The sequence below is a fragment of the Homo sapiens genome, chromosome 15, assembly GCF_000001405.40.
Source record: "Homo sapiens chromosome 15, GRCh38.p14 Primary Assembly".
Lineage (NCBI taxonomy): Eukaryota > Metazoa > Chordata > Mammalia > Primates > Hominidae > Homo > Homo sapiens.
The window spans coordinates 55,316,510-55,336,026 of NC_000015.10; the positions used below are offsets into that span (position 1 = coordinate 55,316,510).

The 19,517-nt window shown below is 40.5% G+C and overlaps 3 protein-coding genes across 15 annotated transcripts in view, besides 4 other annotated features; 1 reads left to right on the forward strand and 2 right to left on the reverse strand.

Annotated features, from left to right (window-relative positions):
• Window positions 1-2,614, reverse strand: part of RAB27A (RAB27A, member RAS oncogene family) — a 116,158-nt gene extending 113,544 nt beyond the window's left edge. The window contains exon 1 of the mRNA NM_001438970.1: window positions 2,422-2,614. The gene's annotated coding sequence lies outside the window, so the exon portion shown is untranslated. The remainder of the gene's footprint in view (window positions 1-2,421) is intronic.
• PIGBOS1 (PIGB opposite strand 1) lies at window positions 675-2,614 on the reverse strand. 4 transcript variants are annotated; one of them, NM_001308423.2, is made up of 2 exons: window positions 2,422-2,614; window positions 675-1,358 (listed from the first exon to the last, which is right to left on the reverse strand). In NM_001308423.2, the coding sequence occupies exon 2, from the start codon at window positions 1,281-1,283 to the stop codon at window positions 1,119-1,121; it is 165 nt and encodes a 54-aa protein (NP_001295352.1). In that variant the 5' UTR covers window positions 1,284-1,358; window positions 2,422-2,614; the 3' UTR covers window positions 675-1,118. The 4 variants fall into 4 exon arrangements, with proteins under 4 accessions (NP_001295352.1, NP_001295351.1, NP_001295350.1 ...); NM_001308422.2 differs by having other exon boundaries at window positions 2,398-2,614; NM_001308421.2 differs by having other exon boundaries at window positions 2,355-2,614.
• Window positions 2,473-2,542: an enhancer, noted in NCBI's record as "active region_9441". NCBI's record gives its function as "activates an Ori minimal core promoter by ATAC-STARR-seq in GM12878 lymphoblastoid cells {active_cell/tissue: GM12878}" and the evidence as "EXISTENCE:reporter gene assay evidence [ECO:0000049][PMID:35858748]".
• Window positions 2,593-2,682: an enhancer, noted in NCBI's record as "active region_9442". NCBI's record gives its function as "activates an Ori minimal core promoter by ATAC-STARR-seq in GM12878 lymphoblastoid cells {active_cell/tissue: GM12878}" and the evidence as "EXISTENCE:reporter gene assay evidence [ECO:0000049][PMID:35858748]".
• Window positions 2,713-19,517, forward strand: part of PIGB (phosphatidylinositol glycan anchor biosynthesis class B) — a 36,427-nt gene continuing 19,622 nt past the window's right edge. For 3 of the 10 annotated variants that reach the window (NM_004855.5, XM_011522235.4, XM_047433365.1), the window contains exons 1-6: window positions 2,713-2,904; window positions 3,766-3,901; window positions 4,764-4,881; window positions 11,022-11,126; window positions 13,215-13,345; window positions 17,358-17,498. In NM_004855.5, the coding sequence (NP_004846.4) occupies window positions 2,742-2,904; window positions 3,766-3,901; window positions 4,764-4,881; window positions 11,022-11,126; window positions 13,215-13,345; window positions 17,358-17,498 (794 nt within the window). In that variant the 5' untranslated portion in view covers window positions 2,713-2,741. Of the gene's footprint in view, window positions 2,905-3,765; window positions 3,902-4,763; window positions 4,882-7,848; window positions 8,010-8,270; window positions 8,326-11,021; window positions 11,127-13,214; window positions 13,346-17,357; window positions 17,499-19,517 lie in introns of those variants that run through there. The other 7 variants (XM_047433363.1, XM_017022731.2, XM_011522236.4 and 4 more) reach the window with 7 other exon arrangements.
• Window positions 2,743-2,822: an enhancer, noted in NCBI's record as "active region_9443". NCBI's record gives its function as "activates an Ori minimal core promoter by ATAC-STARR-seq in GM12878 lymphoblastoid cells {active_cell/tissue: GM12878}" and the evidence as "EXISTENCE:reporter gene assay evidence [ECO:0000049][PMID:35858748]".
• Window positions 2,893-2,972: an enhancer, noted in NCBI's record as "active region_9444". NCBI's record gives its function as "activates an Ori minimal core promoter by ATAC-STARR-seq in GM12878 lymphoblastoid cells {active_cell/tissue: GM12878}" and the evidence as "EXISTENCE:reporter gene assay evidence [ECO:0000049][PMID:35858748]".

Here is a 19,517-nt window from a genome sequence, read left to right on the forward strand (position 1 = left end):
CAGGTGCAGCAAACACCATGGCACATGTATATCTATGTTACAAACCTGCACGTTCAGCACATGTATCCCAGAACTTAAAAAAAAAAAGGAGAAAAAAAGAAAATACAAACTTAACGCTAGAGTAAAAAGTAATACCAATTCTTAGTAACTTCAAAAAAAATTTTAACTATATGAATAATAGCTTCATAATAAATTAACTACTCCCTTAACACAATTATTAATGCAAATTTGCTTAGTGGATTAAAAAACATCTGTGTCATATCTGCCATCCTCTCAAACAACATCTACCTTCTCTAAAACCTCAATTTGATCTGAGCCATCCCAACTCTCAACTACTCCTCCACACTGCCTGAGATGAAAAACGGCTGGGATTGAATGACTGCCAAAATATATTAAACCAATCTAACTGCAGGGTAACGGAGTGGATTTCTGCCTGAGGTAGTTTAAGTTGGTTCACATATCTACAAACACTATTGCAAACACCCTTCCCAATTATTATATACACACTGAGACTGGCACCCCATGATACTGCATATGCTGAATTCCTAGAAAAATAAACCTCAAGTAGAAAATATTCCTAAAATATTCACTTTTGTTTAAAAGGAAATTACTTATCTGTCCTGGTAAAAAGACATAAAATGACAAATATACAATAAACATTAAAATTAACAGTGTTAGGTTAAAAAATCATTATCCATGATTTATTTTTAAGTACATCTATGTTTTTGCTAGATTAGAGTTAACATAATTAAATGGAACTTTAAGCAATTATTACAGTTCATCTCCATGAGGTATTTGTGGGTTTTTTTGCTTTTTGTTTTTTTAGATGGAGTCTCGCTCTGTCACCCAGGCTGGAGTGCAGCAGCGTGATCTTGACTCACTGCCACCTCTGCCTCCCAGGTTCAAGTGATGCTCCTGCCTCAGCCTCCCAAGTAGCTGGGATTACAGGCGCATGCCACCAAGCCTGGCTGATTTTTGTATTTTCAGTAGAGACAGGGTTTCACCATGTTGGTCAGGCTGGTCTTGAACTCCTGACCACCTGATCCACCCGCCTCGGCCTCCCAAAGTGCTGGGATTACAGGCGTGAGCCACTGCGCCAGGCCTAACTCCATGTAGTATTAACTTTTCTTCTCTTCTGATTCTTGTACCAACTGCATCTTTTCTTTTAATTCCTTCTGATCTTTGGCATACTGTTCAAATACTGGTTGAAAAATATATACTCCTCCAGCAATTCCAAGGACAGTGGCAAAAAGCAGTTGTGCAAAAGTCAATCTCCTAAACATTGCTGCAACAAATACAGCTCAAGGAAAAGCTGGTTTTGGAAAGTCACACTCCACACCCAGGAAATCTCTTCAAATCTGCATACAAAAATGGAAAGCAAAGCCATCACTTAGTACAATGTCCTTTTAAAAGATGTTATGTCACTACTTTGCACTGGAGTGAACAATATTTTTATAATATGTTACTAATTAAAACAAGAATATAAATACATAAGGAGTACAGGAAGTGAATTAGGGAAGGGTATAAGACAAAACTAAAACCTTTTCTATTACAGAATGTTCTCAATGGTTTTAAATGCATACTTTTTCTTTTTTTTTTTTTTTTTGAGACGGAGTCTCGCTCTGTCGCCCAGGCTGGAGTGCAATGGCGCAATCTCGGCTCACTGCAAGCTCCGCCTCCTCGGTTAACGCCATTCTCCTACCTCAGCCTCCCGAGAAGCTGGGACTACAGGCGCGTGTCACCACACCCGGCTAATTTTTTGTATTTTTTGTAGAGACGGGGTTTCACCGTGTTAGCCAGGATGGTCTCGATCCTCTGACCTCCTGATCCGCCCGTCTTGGCCTCCCAAAGTACTGGGAATACAGGCGTGAGCCACCGCGCCCGGCCTGGTTTTACTTTTAACAAGAGGAGTGGGCCGCACGCGGTGGCTCACGCCTGTAATCCCAACACTTTGGGAGGCCGAGGCGGGCGGATCACGAGGTCAGGAGTTCCAGACCAGCCAGGCCAATATGGTGAAACCCCGTCTCTACAAAAAAACACAAAAATTGGCCAGGCGTGGTGGCGCGCCTGTAGTCCCAGCTACTTGGGAGCTGAGGCAGGAAAATCACTGGAACCCGGGAGGCAGAAGTTGCAGTGAGCCCAGATTGCGCCACTGCACTCCAGCCTGGACTACAAGAGCGAAACTCCGTCTCAAAAAAAAAAACAAAAACAAAAACAAAAAAAAAACCTAACAACAGCAACAACAACAAAAAAAATAGGAACCATTCGGCCTGTTTCCACATCTGTACAACAAGCTAAATCATCCCTACCCTGCCTACCTCGTTGAACAGGCATTTTTTGTGAGAGCAACGAACCTGAAATGTTAACACCAACACTGACGTCTACAATTACCGTTACCGTTTTTAATAACCACTCAGGTACCTCCGACTGTTCTGCGCCTGCTCCACGTCACTAAACTCGCTACCGCCTGCTCCCCTCCAGAGACCGGGGGCCTTCCAGCAGTTTTCGGACCCCCGAGCACAGAGACCGCCAAGCCAAAGGCGAGTAGCAATCCCTCGGTTCGGAAACGGCGAAAGGAAACCGCAAGGAGGCCACCACGTCGGGTGGGAGCTACGAAGTTGCCCGTTCCCGGTTACTTCCGGGCTTGCGAGCGACGACTGCTCTCAAAGGCCAAACTTAATGGATGGACGAGCAGCGCGCTACTGCAGCTTTCTTCCGCCTTAGGAAGGTGGCGGCCAGGGATGAGGAGGCCCCTAAGCAAGTGCGGAATGGAGCCGGGGGGCGGAGATGCCAGCCTCACTTTGCATGGTCTCCAGAACCGCTCCCACGGCAAGATAAAGCTGCGAAAGAGAAAGTCTACCTTGTACTTCAACACCCAGGAGAAGAGCGCCAGGCGCCGCGGGGGTGAGTGAGGGGACACTGTCTGGAGAGCTCCTACCCCCATCTAAAAGGAACCCCCTCCATTTCATTACCAGCCAGTTGCCCGTTGAGCTCTGTGTTGCCAGATCTTGAGTTTTGAAATGCTGGGAAATGCTGGAAACACAGATTTTAATATAAATTCTGATTTTTAAATGTTGGCAACTAAATTCAATTTTTTAAAAAATACTCTGTATTTGGCCGACAGGCTGTCCATTTGTGGTCAAGAGCAGGACTTTGGAGACATCACACAGACCCGGGTTTGAATCCTGATAAGTAATTTACAACTTTATTTGGACAAGGCAGTTTAATTTCTGGGCCTCAATTTGCTCGTCTGTAAAATGGGGCTAATAATACCTATCCCATAATATTGTTTGGAGGATTAAGTGAGATGCATGTGAAGAAATTAACACAGTGCCTGGCATATATAATAGTAATCATCAATATATATGTACAGAGGACCATTTTATATTGCACATATACAAAGGGCTGCTTCCCAAATTAGTAATTTGTTAGCTGGTTTCTTTCATTAGATACACACATAGTATGACCTAATTAATTAGCCTAAGGCCTTAGTTAACCCACTCTTTTTTTTTTGTATTTATTTTAATATTATCTTTACACAATAAGTTGCAAGAAAAGTTGGTTAAACTAAAAGAGTGGCAGTCACCCAGTGATGACGCTGTGGTGCTTGTATAACCAACCAAGTTGGCTTTAAGAATGGTGTGGAGGGACCAGAGGTCACTACTGTGCCTTACAAGGAGCCAACCAGAGCAGCAGATTTTAAGTTTTGCAAGTGGAACTGCCTGACTTTTGTGCCACTATTACCTGTTTTGTTCTGTTTTTCAGATCTTCTTGGAGAAAATATTTATCTGCTCTTGTTTACCATAGCTTTACGAATATTAAACTGCTTTTTAGTGCAGACAAGTTTTGTTCCAGATGAATACTGGCAGTCTCTTGAAGTTTCACATCACATGGTTTTCAAATATCCTTTGTGGTTTCTTTTCCAGACTATGAGTGTGTATTCATCTTGGAAATTGTGCTCAGTTTCTTTTAGAGTAGTCCCCCTTGCTCCCTCGTCTTCAGTAGATAGTTTCCAAAATCCCTAGTGGATGCTTGAAACTGTAGACAGTACCAAACTCTATATATATTGTTTTTATATATGTAAAAAATACACACACGCTTATGATAAAGTTTATACAAATTAGGTACAGTAAGAGATTAACAGTATTAAAATATAACAAGTATAACACAATACTATAATAAAAGTTATGTGAACTTTTATGTGGTCTCTCTCAAAATATCTTCATATTTTCAGACAGTGGTTGACTCTGGGCAACTGAAACATGGAAAGAGAAACCACAGATAAGGGGGGACTACTATACATATTTTCAGTTTTCCGTATTTTCCCCAAATAATTTTAACTCATCAAAGTATACCATTATTTTATACAAATATTTCTCCTGTATCTTTCTTTTATGTTAATATACTTGACACAGCCGTTAGCATACATTCCCACAGTACTTAGCACTTGGAGGATACAGAGAAAGTAAAAAACACATTACTGCCTTGAAGAAGTTAAGAGTTTAGTTGGCCAATTGAATTTTTAATGCAAATATCCAGTATAAAATGCTGTTTTAAGACTGCCACAAAATAAAATATTGTTTTATAAATGGAAATGAAAATAGATTTTGCCAGGTGAAGTGGTGTGCACCTGTAGAGGCAGGACCACTTGAGCCCAAGTTTGAGACCAGCCTGGGCAAGAGAGTGAGACCCCATCTTAAAAAAAAAAAAAACACGGAAATAGGTTTCAATATTATTGGACATTTACTCCTTAATGTTACTAATTATGGTTATTTGACTTGGGAATGGACAGAGAGACTGAGGAGTTACACTTATCCCTTAATCTTTGCAAGCATTTACAAGATTCTTCATCTTTTAGGGAAAGATAGTGTTCAGTTGCTGGTAAGTTTAAATAAAAGTAACTAAATGATATTGGGGCCATGGAATTTGTTTTTAAAAGGCTACTGTTGCTGAAGTCCAGCCATATCTGGGAAGCCCATGATACTACAGACATACTGTGATGTGTAACTCTTTAGTTTGTGCTGAAATACAAGACTGAGCATGAAAATATCCTGCTATGAGGAATCCTGTTATGATGTGCAGATTTTCAAAATGACTATATTATGTATTATTTGGACATTAGAAGTATACTTCTTTCTTTTTTTTTTTTTTTTTTTTTTTTGGGACGGAGTTTGCTCTTGTTGCCTAGGCTGGAGTGCAATGGCGTGATCTTGGCTCACCACAACCTCCACCTCCCGGGTTCAAGCGATTCTCCTGCCTCAGCCTCCCGAGTAGCTGGGATAACAGGCATGCACCACCATGCCCGGCTAATTTTGTATTTTTAGTAGAGATGGGGTTTCTCTGTGTTGGTCAGGCTGGTCTCGAACTCCCGACCTGAGGTGATCTGCCCGTGCGGTGGCTCACACCTGTAATCCCAGCACTTTGGGAGGCCGAGGCGGGCGGATCACCTGAGGTTGGGAGTTCGAGACCAGCCTGACCAACACAGAGAAACCGCGTCTCTACTAAAAATACAAAATTAGCCGGGTGTGGTCGCGCATGCCTGTAATCTCAGACTTTCTGGAGGCTGAGGTAGGAGAATCACTTGAACCCAGGAGGTGGAGGTTGCGGTGAGCCGAGATCACGCCATTGCATTCTAGCCTGGGCAACAAAAGCGAAACTCCTTCCCCCATCCCCCGCAAAAAAAGTATCACTTGAGAGCACCGTTGTATTTTGTGTTTTTTACCTTGTAAGAAGACCGTGTGATATGATTTTATGAAGTCTGTATACATCTAAACCCACTGAGGATTTAGTGTTGAAATTAAAACTTTAAAATTTTTAATTTGACAAACATTTAATGATCTGCATAATCATCGTCCTATATAGTAATTAGGCATCAACAGTAAGTAGGATTGTAATTCCTAGGCTATTAATTGCTGGGGTCAGTTGCCAGGAGATAGTACAAGGGCAGGACTAATGGTGTAAAAGTTTCTCTAGCCTCACTCCCATGATCTTTTAAGCTGTCATCAGATGAGACTCAGAGTTTGTGCTCCCCCCGATTTCTGTCAGTGGGGGTTAATGGCTCAGCATTCCAAAGGCAGTCCAAATCCTGACGTGTTTTGTGTAGCTTAGAAAGACACAGGTTCTAGGGTATTTGTTTTAAGGTGGGGTTGTACTCTCCCCATTGCAATATTTGCTTCCGTTATTGAGAAATTAGGGTTAAACCAGTGAAACCGATGCTTCAAATGGGAAGATGATGGGGAAGGAGAATTCAGAGCAGTAGCAGAGTTTCTTCCATTAACAACAGGCAGAATTTAGGAGCCGCAACCTGGCTTTTCTTCTCTTACAGTTATCTACTAGTTTATAGATTATGCAAGGTATCCATAAAGTCTGGAATCACAAGAAAATATACATAATCTCATCAATGACAGTTTATATCCCAGGAAGTAGGTCAGATTACAAATGAAGAGGTCTTCAAGATAGAAAAATTTCCTGCTCCTCCAAGACCTATCCACTGCCCTCCATCTGTAGCTGACCCACCAGGTCATTTTGTGATGTGAAGGAAGCCTCCCCTGACCTGCTCCAACCCCTCTAAAAGGAACTCATTGTCGTATCTAGAACTTGACCCTGTAGAGATTCATTAGGATATGATCAGTCATTCATACTCTCATATTGATTATTTTAAGCAAATTATATACATAATTTTGAAGCTAGAAGAGGTTGGAGAAGTGAAGTAAATAGACCAAGGTCACAACGTGTTAAAAGCAGAACTAGAGCTAAATCCCAGGTCTATTTACTCACAGCCTAGTGCTCTTCCCAGATGGCTCCTCTACAAACTGCATAAGGCTTATGCACAGCTAGGCATGGTGGCTCACAGTTGTAATCTCAGCACTTTGGGAGGCTGAGGTGGGAGGATTGCTTGAGGCCAGGAGTTTGAGAACAGCCTGGGCAACATAGCAAAACTCTGTTTCTACAAAAAATTTTTAAAAAGGATAGATGGCTTAGAGCTGCACTGTCCACCATGGTAGCCACTAGCTACATGTAGCTGTTGAAGACTTCAAATGTGGCTAGTCCAATTTGAGAAGTGCTGAAAATGTAAAATACATACTGAATGTCAAAGGCCTAGTACAAAAAAAGAATAAAAATATTTTTATAATTTTTATTGATTAAATGTTCAAATGATGATGCCTTAGATATATTGGGTTAGACAAGATGAAATTAATTTTACCTGTTTTGGATTTGGGGGTCATCTCTGTTGTTACTTTTTAATTTGCCAGCTATAGAATTTAAAATTCCACATGTGGCTCATGTTATATGTCTTTTGGCCTGTGATGGCATGGAACATGTAAAAAGAAAGAGGAAGAGGAGGGGAAACCTGAATGGGGAACCACAGTAAGGTTTGTTGGGTTTTGTTTCTTTTGAAATGGAATCTCACTCTGTCGCCCAGGCTGGAGTGCAGTGGCACCATCTTGGCTGGCTGTAACTGCCGCCTCCCGGGTTCAAGTGATTCTCCTGCCTCAGCCTCCCGAGTAGCTGGGATTACAGGTGTCTGCCACCACACCTGGCTAATTTTTGTATTTTTAGTAGAGACGGGGTTTCACCGTGGCCAGGCTGGACTCAAATGATCTGCCTGCCTCTACCTCCCAAAGTGTTGAGATTACAGGGGTGAGCCACCAAGCTTGCCAACAGTAGGGTCTTTGAATAGTCAGAAGACAACAAAAGGGTATTTGGCTCCTGTAGCTTAGGGGAGGAGTCAGGAGTGTAAAGAACAGAAGTATGGAATGAGGAGCTACCAACATAGGCCTAGTGCTCAAGTTACGCCTGGCATGTTCTTCTCTTTACCTCACTCCACTGCTTTATTTTACTCTTTAGCAGGTCCTTACTGTAACATGGAAAATTATGGCATCAAAAATCTGGAGAAACTGCTAATGACTGGGAGTTCAGAACTCCGCTTATTGTTATGCGAAAGTCTACTTTGTTTTAAATTCAAGATTTCTACTTAACCACCCTTGAAAAACTTCTCTTTATTCGGGGTAAATGTCTCTAGCTCTTAACCTCATAATCATAGATAGTATCCTCTAGACACTTTGTAATTTATTAATATCCGTCTTAAAATGTGGATCTCCAAACTGACACAATAATGAAGGCAGAGTAACTAGTTCAGAATATGGTGGGTCCATTAACTTACATTTCTCAGAGCACAGGAATTCTTTTAGCTTTTTAATAGCTACCTCACACTGTTGGCTCATATTAAGTTTGTAGCCAAATTGACTTTTCATATGAACTGCTTTCAGGGGGCCTGGGAAGTAAGGATGAAGCTTATAGCTCCCTATGCAGAGTAAACAGAAGGTATGTACATGAGTGCCTTTTCCTGTATTTTACAGGGCACAGTTTATGTGAAATTAAGTACTGGGTACCTTTAACTTTCCAATTTTAGCATTTATTTACACATTGTGGACAAAAAGAAAATAAAGTGCTAAAAGCCACTGACAACTAAAAGTAAAGCAGCTCCTATAATGTGGACTTAATGAAGTTTGCTTCAACAAAAATATGAATTAACAGCCGGCGCGGTGGATCACGCCTGTAATCCCAGCACTTTGGGAGGGTGAGGGGGGTGGATCACCTGAGGTCAGGAGTTCGAGACTAGCTGGCCAACATGGTGAAACCCCATCTCTACTAAAAATAGAAAAATTATACAGGCATGGTGGCGGGCACCTGTAATCCCAGCTACTTGGGAGGCTAAGGCAGGAGAATCGCTTGAACTTGGGAGGTGGAGGTTGCCATGAGCCAAGATCGCACCACTGCACTCCAGCCTGGATGACAGAGTGAGACTCTGTCTCACACACACACACACAAAATAAAAAAATAAATAAACTCACGTATAAATTTTTAGAAACACATCTTTTAAACAAACCAAGATTAAATTGTGCTCTACCAGCAGTTGTTATTTTGTTAGTGTTAACTATGACACCTTTTTTTTTAACTCTGAGAGATGCTAGTGCATAGCATTAGCCTTTCTAACTATAATTTAGTTGTAATACATTTAGTCTTTATTTCAGTTTTACACTTAAATTTACTCTTTAATGTCATCTGAATACCATGTTCCTATAATTGCAGAATATTTGTGCTTTTTTAAAAAGTAATTTGTTAGCCAGGTGCGGTGGCTCATGCCTGTAATCCTAGCACTTTGGGAGGCTGAGGCGGGCAGATCACAAGGTCACGAGATCAAGACCATCCTGGCTAAAATGGTGAAACCTCGTCTCTACTAAAAATACAAAAAATTAGCCAGGCGTGGTGGCATGCATCTGTAGTCCCAGCTACTCACAAGGCTGAGGCAGGAGAATCGCTTGAACCTGGGAGGCAGAGGTGGCGGTGAGCCAAGATCACACAGCTGCACTCCAGCTTGGGCGACAGAGCAAGACTCCATCTCGCTGGGCACGGTTGCTCACTCCTGTAATCCTAGCACGTTGGGAGGCCGAGGCAGGCGGATTGCCTGAGTTCAGGAGTTCGAGACCAGCCTGGGCAACATGGTGAAACCCCATCTCTACTAAAATACAAAAAATTAGCTGGGCGTGGCGGCGTGCACCTGTAGTCCCAGCTACTCAGGAGGCTGAGGCAGGAGAATTGCTGGAATCTGGGAGGTGGAGCTTGCAGTGAGCCGTGATCGTGCCACTGCACTCCACCCTGGGCAACAGAGCGAGACTCTGTCTCCAAAAAAAAAAAGACTCCGTCTCAAAAAAAAAAAAAGTATTTCTTATTATCTTATTTTATATCTTATTATCTTATACATAATATTATCTTATTATCTATATTGCAGGATAGAGAAGCAGCATAACTTAGTAATTAAAGTCAGGCAGACCTGGGTTTATAATGCCGGCTTTCATACTTACTAGCTGTGCAGCCTTGGAAAATTAGTTAACCTCTCTGTGCCTCAGTTTCCTCATCTATAAAACAGTTCTTGACTCAGAAGATTGTTAGGACTGAATGAGTTGATACATATAAAATAGCATGATACATAGTACACAGTGCTGCAAATATTTGAATTTTTAAAAACCTGTTGTTGCTAATGAATATAAATATACTTTTAAAATAGAAACTTGGCCGAGCACGGTGGCTTACACCTGTAATCCCAGCACTTTGGGAGGCCGAGGCGGGTGGATCACGAGGTCAGGAGATCGAGACCATGCTGGCTAACATTGTGAAACCCCGTCTCTACTAAAAATACAAAAAAATTAGCCGGGCGTGGGAGGCTGAGGCAGGAGAATGGCGTGAACCCGGGAGGCGGAGCTTGCAGTGAGCCGCGGTTGCGCCACTGGACTCCAGCCTGGGCGACAGAGCGATACGTCTCATAAAAATAAATAAATAAAACAGAAACTTAACACAATTAAATGACTGGCTATTAATATTTACATTAAAATTAGGGCCAGGCACAGTGGCTCACGCTTGTAATCCCAACACTTTGGGAGGCCAAGGTGGAAGTATCATTTGAGGCAAGATTAGCTGAGTGTGGCAGTGCATGTCTGAAGTCCTAGCTACTCAGTAGACTGAGGCAGGAAAATTGCTTCACTCCTGGATTCAAGGCTGCAGCCTGGGTAACAGAGTGAGACCCTGTCAATCAATCAATATAATAAAAAATAATTTAAAAATATATTTATAATATATGTGTGTGTATATATGTCATATATATGCACACATACAGAGAATGAGACTGGTAAATATCATATTTATATATAAATATATATATTTATATTTATAATATATTTTATATATAACATATGTGTATATATGTCATATATACACACACATACAGAGAATGAGACTGGTAAAACTTAAAACTACATTGATTATTTTAATGAGAATATAATTTTTGTAGAAAAGGGGATGTAGGGATGTAGTTTTGTGGAAGAATAGAAAAATATATTGCCTATTTTTGTACTAAGAATGGCTTCCCATAGATAGTTGGATCAGCTTGTTGACTTTTATCATAATTCAGTTTGAACCAACAGATATTTTTAACATCCTGTTCTTCTTTTTAACTGATGAAGATTTGGATTCCTAGACTTGCCCAAGCACTTCTGTCTGCTGTAGCAGATGTGAGACTTTACTCATTAATGAAGCAACTAGAAAATCAGGAAGTGGCAAGATGGGTGGTAAGTCCTAAATACTTTAGAAGCTGTATGCCAGTTATTTCGTTCCTATGGGTATAAAGCACATGGAAACATTGATTCCCAAAACAATTTTAGAAGATAATTCATACAACTTTATAGAGGTACTTCCATAAATAAGAACAGTAATATGCAAGTGGCACCTGCCATATCTTTCCTTCGGATTAAGCCCTGCACAGTGTAAGCCACTGATGCCCTCAAACCCTATGAGAGTCTAAACCCTGGGAGACAACCTTTGGAAGCCCCTTCACTCCTCAAAACTGTCCTTGCCTCTCTTTCCATAGAATTGAGTAGGGATCGTTCTAAATTACCAGCTACCTCACAAAGCATCTTAGCTATTTACAACCCTTGTTCTGTTCCTCTAGCCAGCCTCTATCTGAGGTGCAGCCCGAGAAATCTTTTTGCACTGAAACTCTCACTTCTGAATGGGATGTTGGAAGTATTAGGTTGGTGCAAAAGTAATTGTCGTTTGTGCCACAACAATATTAGGTTGGTGCAATTACTGGACTCATGTAAGGAAGAAAGTATAGTATGCAAGACTATCTTTTGTCGTTTGACTTATTTCAAGGTGGGAAGATAGATTCCTGACATCTCCCACTCCAATCTTGAATGGATTTTTCCCATTTAAACAATACCCTGATGAGGGATTGGATTCTGTAGTACTGTCGTTAATTCACTTGGCTCTTTGTAAAGTTAATAAGCTTATATGAGCCTGTTTGAAAGTCTTAACTACCTTTTTTATATTGTTTCTATTGGAAAATACATTCTAAATTCCAAGTAACCAATTTAGCAACATATTTCTGAAATATAATTTATTAATAAATTAGAAAGGGAACATTTCTGCAGGTATTCTATTCCTTTGCATTAAAAAGAAAGATTGGTTTAGCAACTAAGTCCTTGCTAATTGATTCAGCAATATGGTTAGCCTCATTATTTTGTGCTTATACTTTATGTACATTGCAGAAGGCTCAACATAAAATGGTAGGCAAAAGTCATGATGGCTTTGAAGTCCTTCCTCCAAAGATACAGCACTAGGGCCGGGCATGGTGGCTCACCCCTATAATCCCAGCACTTTGGGAGGCTGAGGTGGGCGGATCACAAGGTCCGGAGTTCGAGACCAGCCTGGCCAACACGGTGAAACCCTGTCTCTACTAAAAATACAAAAATTATCCAGGCGTGGTGGCAGACACCTGTAATCCCAGCTACTCGGGAGGCTAAGGCAGGAGAATTGCTTGAACCCAGGAGGCAGAGATTGTGCCACTGCACTCTAACCTGGGTGACAGAGCAAGAGCAAGACTCCTTCTCGAAGAAAAAAAAAGGATACAGCACTAGGTTCTTCTAGTTTAGGGAAAACCTTTACTTTCATGAAAATTGGGAACATTTTTTAAAGGCTATATTTGGTGAGATGGGAAGCTAGTGCCACATGCTTAACAATTGCCTCAACTAACAAGTTTCTTTTAACACATTTGTTTTGTAGACTTAATGGTGCTCTGTGTGCATGTTCTTCCAAAAACTGATTCATTAATTTAGTCAATCTCCAAATTAAAATTTAATAATGTCTCCTGACTTTTTTTTCCTCTTTCCTCTTTTGTCTTAATTTTTCATCAGCGTTCCAAAACAGGGAGACATTCCAAACAAGTGCAACATTCCAAACAAGGTCAACAAAAAAACAGTCATAATACTTGTGTCAGTACTATAAGACAGTTTGAGAAATATTGATTGGAAGAATCTAGTTATGAATTTCAATCATCTGTAAACTCTACCATCAAAGAATCTGTTTTTTATGTGTTTCATTAATGGAAAGTGGGATTTTAAATCAAATGAAGTGCCATAAAAATGCACCTGAAAGTATAAACTTCTTAACATGAACAAATATAGATCTGCTATTATCATAAACCTGTGTTTCATGTAACTTTCTAAAAACGACGTTTGGGCATGCCTACTTACTTTAACATCATCTACCTTTTGATGTCCTTTTCACAATATTTAGACTTGCTTGCTATTTAGAAGATAATATGTACTAAGGTTTTCCATTTCCAATTTCATATATGTTTGCTCTGTACTTTTTCTTAGTTTTTTTGCCAGTTGTGCTCCTGGTTCACATGGTATTGCTGTACCAGAACCCTTACAAACACCATGGAAACTGTTCTCACTATAATTGCTCTTTTCTACTATCCTTTGGAAGGTTCAAAGTCTATGAACAGGTAAGAAAAATTATTGTTAATAATTATGTTCAAAATTCTACTTTTGAAAAATCTTAAATATCAACATATTGTAATGTCTAGTAGACCCCCTAATTTTCATGAGTCATGAGAACCACAAATTTTCAGTTGATATATTATAGCAGAAAACAGATAATACTCAAACAGGATAATTAAGGAGAGTTTAACAAAAGGAATATTTGCAAAGGTTTAGACAATATTTAGAAAAGCCAATAAGGAAACACCATAGTACCCCCAGCATGGTTATAGTAGGAAGTCTGTATTATCTCTAGGCCCCAAGGAGCAAGGAGAAGAAATGGTTACTGGAATCTATAAAAAGCTGTAATTGTAAGAGAGTGCCCCAGCAGGGACAGGCACAGCCAGCCTTTAGCAATAATGAGGAGACAGCCAGGGAACTAAATAATCCTGACCCAACTCTTCTGCCTCTCAACCCAAAACAGTCAGAAGCCAGAAAGCAAGGTAGCCACTGATGCTGTCCATTCAGGTCAGCTTTCCTGCGTGCAGACTGGATAAAGGCTGGAGGAGAAGAGTTTTGGAAGGGCAAATAGGAAATACTTGGACTTTATTTGGCTTCCTTTAAACTGGGGAAACAAATACCACGCAATGGGAACATGAGTGAAGGCATAGAACTGTAAATGGGCTCCATTTACAGTTACAGTTACAGTATATTCAAGGCAGATTGTCCAGAGTAGTTATAGAGTGTTGTAGGATGCATGGAAGAAGAGAAGAAGAAGGGATGAGGCTGGAATGAGACTTTGAATTTGGATTTTATTCTGTAGGTAATAGGGAACCATTTGAGGCGTTTGAGTAGCATGACATAATCAAATCTGATTTTGAAAAACTTCTTTTGTAATAGCAGTATTTAGGATATACTGAAAGGAGAAAAGCCAGAATTTGGGATCTAGTTAAAATTCTAGTATCCATTCTTCCTACACAAAAGGTTGTTAGGATGATCAAATCAAATAAGATCATTTCTGTCTTAGACTCTCTTAACTACAAGAAAAAGCATTCACTCAAGTTACGTATATGATGAGGACTTTATTTTAAGGCTAAAAGGGAAAATGGGCATCTCAAGCCTTGTGGCTAGGACTGGAAGAAAACTGTAGAATATCTGAGCCACACAAATGAATTGAAATGTTATGCAGAATCCAAGGCAGTTTTGGGGAATGGACTGTTTTGTTGTGCCTTTATATCCCAAATAGCCTATGAATCCTGCCTTAGTCTTCCATCATTTAGGGGCTTAGCTAGTCTCTCCACTTCTGTTTTTGCTAGCAATTACCCAGATTTCTCCATATCTCACGTTCAGCTTGAGAGAATCGAATTAGGTCCATTAAATCTCATTGTCTCTATCTGGACATAACTTTATTTCACACTGGCCAGCCTTAGATTGGCTACCTGGGCCCAGGTGCCCTTCCCTAATTCAGTCAGGAAGCGCAAGGGTCACATGGTACAAAAGGACTGCTATATAAGCATTTTTCCTTGTATAAGCATGACAGATACTATTCCAGACCTGACAATAAAATGACATTTTGCACACTCCTTTAAAAAATGCAACTATTGGCCGGGTGTGGTGGTTCACGCCTGTAATCTCCACACTTTGGGAGGCCGAGACGGGTGGATCACTTGAGGTCGGGAGTTCGAGACCAGCCTGGCCAACATGGTGAAACCCCGTCTCCACTAAAAATACAAAATTAGCTGGATTTGGTGGTGCATGCCTATAATCCCAGCTACTCGGGAGGATGAGACAGGAGAATCACTTGAACCCAGGAGGCAGGGGTTGCAGTCAGTCGAGGTCACACGATTGCACTCCAGCCTGGGCAACAAGAGCAAAACTGTCTCAAAAAAAAAAAATTTGTGGAGATGGGGTCTCTTTAGGTTGCCCAGCTGGTGTTCAACTCCGGGATCAAGTAATCCTCCCACCACGGCCTCTTAAAGCGTTGGGATTACAGGCATGAGCCACCAAACCTGGCCTAAATTTCAAGCTCATGTATCAAAATCTGGATTTCAACTTTCTCTTGAAAAATTGGAAGTTCTAATAGTATTTTGGGCTAGGATTCCTTCATGACAATACCATGGTTCAAACTTAGCCTACATTTCTCATTTTTATTTTATTTTTTTTTTTCGAGACAGTGTCTCTCTCTGTCGCCCAGGCTGGAGTACAGTGGCTCCATCTCGGCCCACTGCAACCTCTGCCTCCTGGGTTCAAGCAATTCTGCTTCAGCCTCCCGAGTAGCTGGGACTACAGGCGCGCACCACCACGCCCAGCTAATTTTTGTATTTTTAGTAGAGATGGGGTTTCACCATGTTGGCCAGGCTGGTCTTGAACTCCTGACCTAGTGATCCAGCTGCCTCGGCCTCCCAAAGTGCTGGGATTACAGGCGTGAGTCACTGCACCCAGCCCCATTTCTCATTTTTATAGTTTACTGGGTCTCTGTAAGCATTTGAATGTGTTATCCTTGAGCTTACATCCTCATCAACATTACAGAATTCATTCTTTTTTTTTTTTCTTTTTTTTGAGATGGAGTTTCATTGTTGTTGCCCAGGCTAGAGTGCAATGGCATGATCTCAGCTCATTGCAACCTCCACTTCCCAGGTTCAAGTGATTCTCCTGCCTCAGCCTCCCAAGTAGCTGGGATTACAGGCACCTGCCACCACACCCAGCTAATTTTTTTCTATCTTTAGTAGAGACAGGGTTTCACCATTTTGGCCAGACTGGTCTTGAACTCCTGACTTCAGGTGATCCACCCACCTCGGCCTCCCAAAGTGCTGGGATTGCAGGCCTGAGCCACCACACCTGGCCTACAGATTTCTTTATAGTTATTTTTATTAGTTAATAGGTATATAATGGTAATATAGGTTGTCTTATTTTGCTTTCTTTTAATTTTTTACAGGACTAAGTATTTTTCCACATAATAATATACTATCCATAGTCCTCATGATTAAATTATCAAATTGTCTCTTTCAACCATTAGTTTAGAGAAGTCCTGTTAATAAAAATCTGTATTTCTATCCATGATCATACAGTTTATACAGTAGGCCTTTTATCAGTTGTATGCATATATATTTCACTTGGCTAAAATTAACTTTCAAAACAAAATTCTAAATACTCTGAGCCCATCACTGCCTAAATAATCCTGTTTCTTTAAATGCTCATGCTTTTTCTTAGAGAAAGCCTCTCTTTATGACTTTCTTATAGCTCCTTAGGAGAAACTTGATCATTTTTTTTTCAATCAAGAAAGTAATTGGCAAAGTTATGAGGTAAAAAGCATGCTTTTTAGCACACAAGACTGGCATTAAGACATATGATAACTTCTTATTTGAAAATACTAGAATTAGAAGATGAGCACTGAAAACGGCTTTAGATATTACCTTTTTTAAAAGATAAGAAAAACTAAGACCCAGAAAGCGTAAGTAACCTGCAAAAGTTAATATAGCTATTTAGGCCAGGCACTGTGGCTCCTGCCTGTAATCCCAGCACTTTAGGAGGCTGAGGCTGGCGGATCGCCTGAGGTCAGGAGTTTGAGACCAGCCTGGCCAACATGGTAAAACCCTGTCTCCCACTAAAAATACAAAAAATTAGCCTGGCATGGGGATTAGCCTGTAATCCCAGCACTTTAGGAGGCTGAGGTGGGCAGATCACCTGACGTCAGGAGTTTGAGGCCAGCCTGGCCAACAAGGTGAAACCCCATCTCTACTGAAAATACAAAAAATTAGTCGGGCATGGTGGTACACACCTGTAATCCCAGCTACTCGGGATGCTGAGGCAGGAGAATCACTTGCACCTGGGAGGCAGAAGTTGCCGTGAGCCAAGATCATGCCACTGCACTCCAGCCTGGGTGACAGAGTGAGACTCTGTCTCAAACAAAACAAAACAAAACAAAAAAAAGTTCATATAGCTATTTATACCAAAAGGAAAATGTCAAATCACAGTGTAAATGATAGATAACTTCAAGTTAATTTCCCACTTGTCTTATCACACATTTTCCTCTTATAGTGTCAAATACTCATCCCTGGTGGCACTTGCCTTCATAATTCGTCCCACAGCTGTCATTCTGTGGACACCTTTGCTCTTCAGACATTTCTGTCAAGAACCAAGAAAGCTTGATCTTATTCTACATCATTTTTTACCTGTAGGGTAAGTGTGGCAATAATCCATCCATTTATTTTAGTAGCCTACAAATCACAGATTACGAACAAGATTTTACATCTTTCAGTTAATTATTTTATCTTCTAATGTCAATGAGAACTCTTAGTCCAAGGAAATAGAATAATGCAAAACTTATATTTTTTATTTATGATCCTGATTATAACTATTTTAATTTGCTTAACTGAGTGCTTTTGTAATTATTTCTAACTTAGTGTTTTCCAATGCTTTATTTCCTAAATATTTCTCACATATATTTTAGAGATACTTGATTCTTTTACATTTGTATAAGGCTTTATAATTCATAATGTGTTTTCACATATTACCTCATAATTTTCATAATACTTCAGTCTAGGCAATATATGTTTTTATTTTGTAGTAGAGAAAACAGGAGGCTCGCAGAAATTTAAAATGTATTAGTCAAAGTCATTGGGCTGGTTGCTATACTGGTATTGAAACCCACATCTTCTAACTACACTATGAGCTCCTAGGATGAGTTGTATCCCAAGTATCTAGTAGACTACCCCGAATAATTATTTACTGAAGGGATGACTGCATTCTGACTCTTACAACAGTAATCTTTTTAATATACAATCATGCACCGCATAATGACATTTTGGTTAGCACTGGACTGCATTTATGACAGTGGTCCCATAAGATTATATTACCGTATTTTAGTGTACTTTAGTTTCTCTGTTTGGCTATATATATTTTTTTATTTGAGACGGAGTCTCACTCTGTCACCTAGGCTGGAGTGCAGTGGTGCATTCTCACTTCACTGCAGCCTCCGCCTCCCAGGTTCAAGTGATTCTCCTGCCTCAGCCTCCCAAACAGCTGGGATTACAGGCGCCTGCCACCACGCCTGGCTAATTTTTTTATTTTTAGTCGAGTTGGGGTTTCACCATGTTGGCCAGCTAGTCTCAAACTCCTGACCTCAGGTGATCCACCCACCTTGGCCTCCCAAAGTGCTGGAAATACAGGCATGGGCCACCATGCCCAGCCTGTTTAGCTATAGTTAGATACACAGATACATAGCATTGTGTTGCAATTGCTTACAATATTCAGCATACTATCATGCTGTATAGGTTTGTAGCCTAGGAGCAGTAGGCTATACCATATAGCCTAGATGTCTGTAAGCTGTACCATCTAGGCTTGTGTAAGTGCACTCTATGATGTTTGCACAATGATGAAACTGCCTAATGATGCAGTTCTCAGAATGTATCCCCATTGTTAAGCAATGCATGACTGTACTAGTATTCACTAGTCACAAGTATTTTTCGGGTAGCAATCTGAAAAGGACTAAATTATCTTGCATCTCAGTTGCTACTGTTGTCATTTCTCAGATGTATTAATAACATTGCATTAAATGTATTCATTCATTCAGGAATTATTTAATCCTACTATGTGCCAGGCAGTGTTCCAGATGTAGGAGATGCATCAGTTTAACCAAAAAAAGTACCTGCCTTCATGAAGTTTACATTCTAGTAGGGAGAGACAGACAGCTAAAAAGATAAGAGTAAATATATATTTGTCAAGTGATGGTAATACAGGGAAAAATAATTGTGGGATAAGAAGGATAGAATGCCAGTGCTTGGGGTAATGGGGGAGCTGTTATTTTTAAATAGGGTAGTTGGGAAAGATCACCATGATAAGGTGACACTGGAGCCAAAACTTAAAGGAGTTGAGAGAGTGAACCATGTAGTTACTTGATGAGAGAGTATTCCAGGCAAAGGGGCCAGCCAAGTACTAAGTATGCTGGGCATGTTCAAGGAACAGCAAGGAGACTGATGTGGCTAAAAGAGAGTGAGTTTGGGAGAATGTAATAATGAGGTCAGAGAGATAGCAGGGGCTCAGTTCCTATCGGCTTTACCACTGAGGGAGATAGAAAGCCTTTTTAATCTCATCAGCAGCATGATAATAACTTATTCATTTAATAAGCATTTAACCTACTTTGTATCCAGCATTTGATAATTCAGAAGTGAGTAAGATACAGTGTCTGCTCTCAAAGTC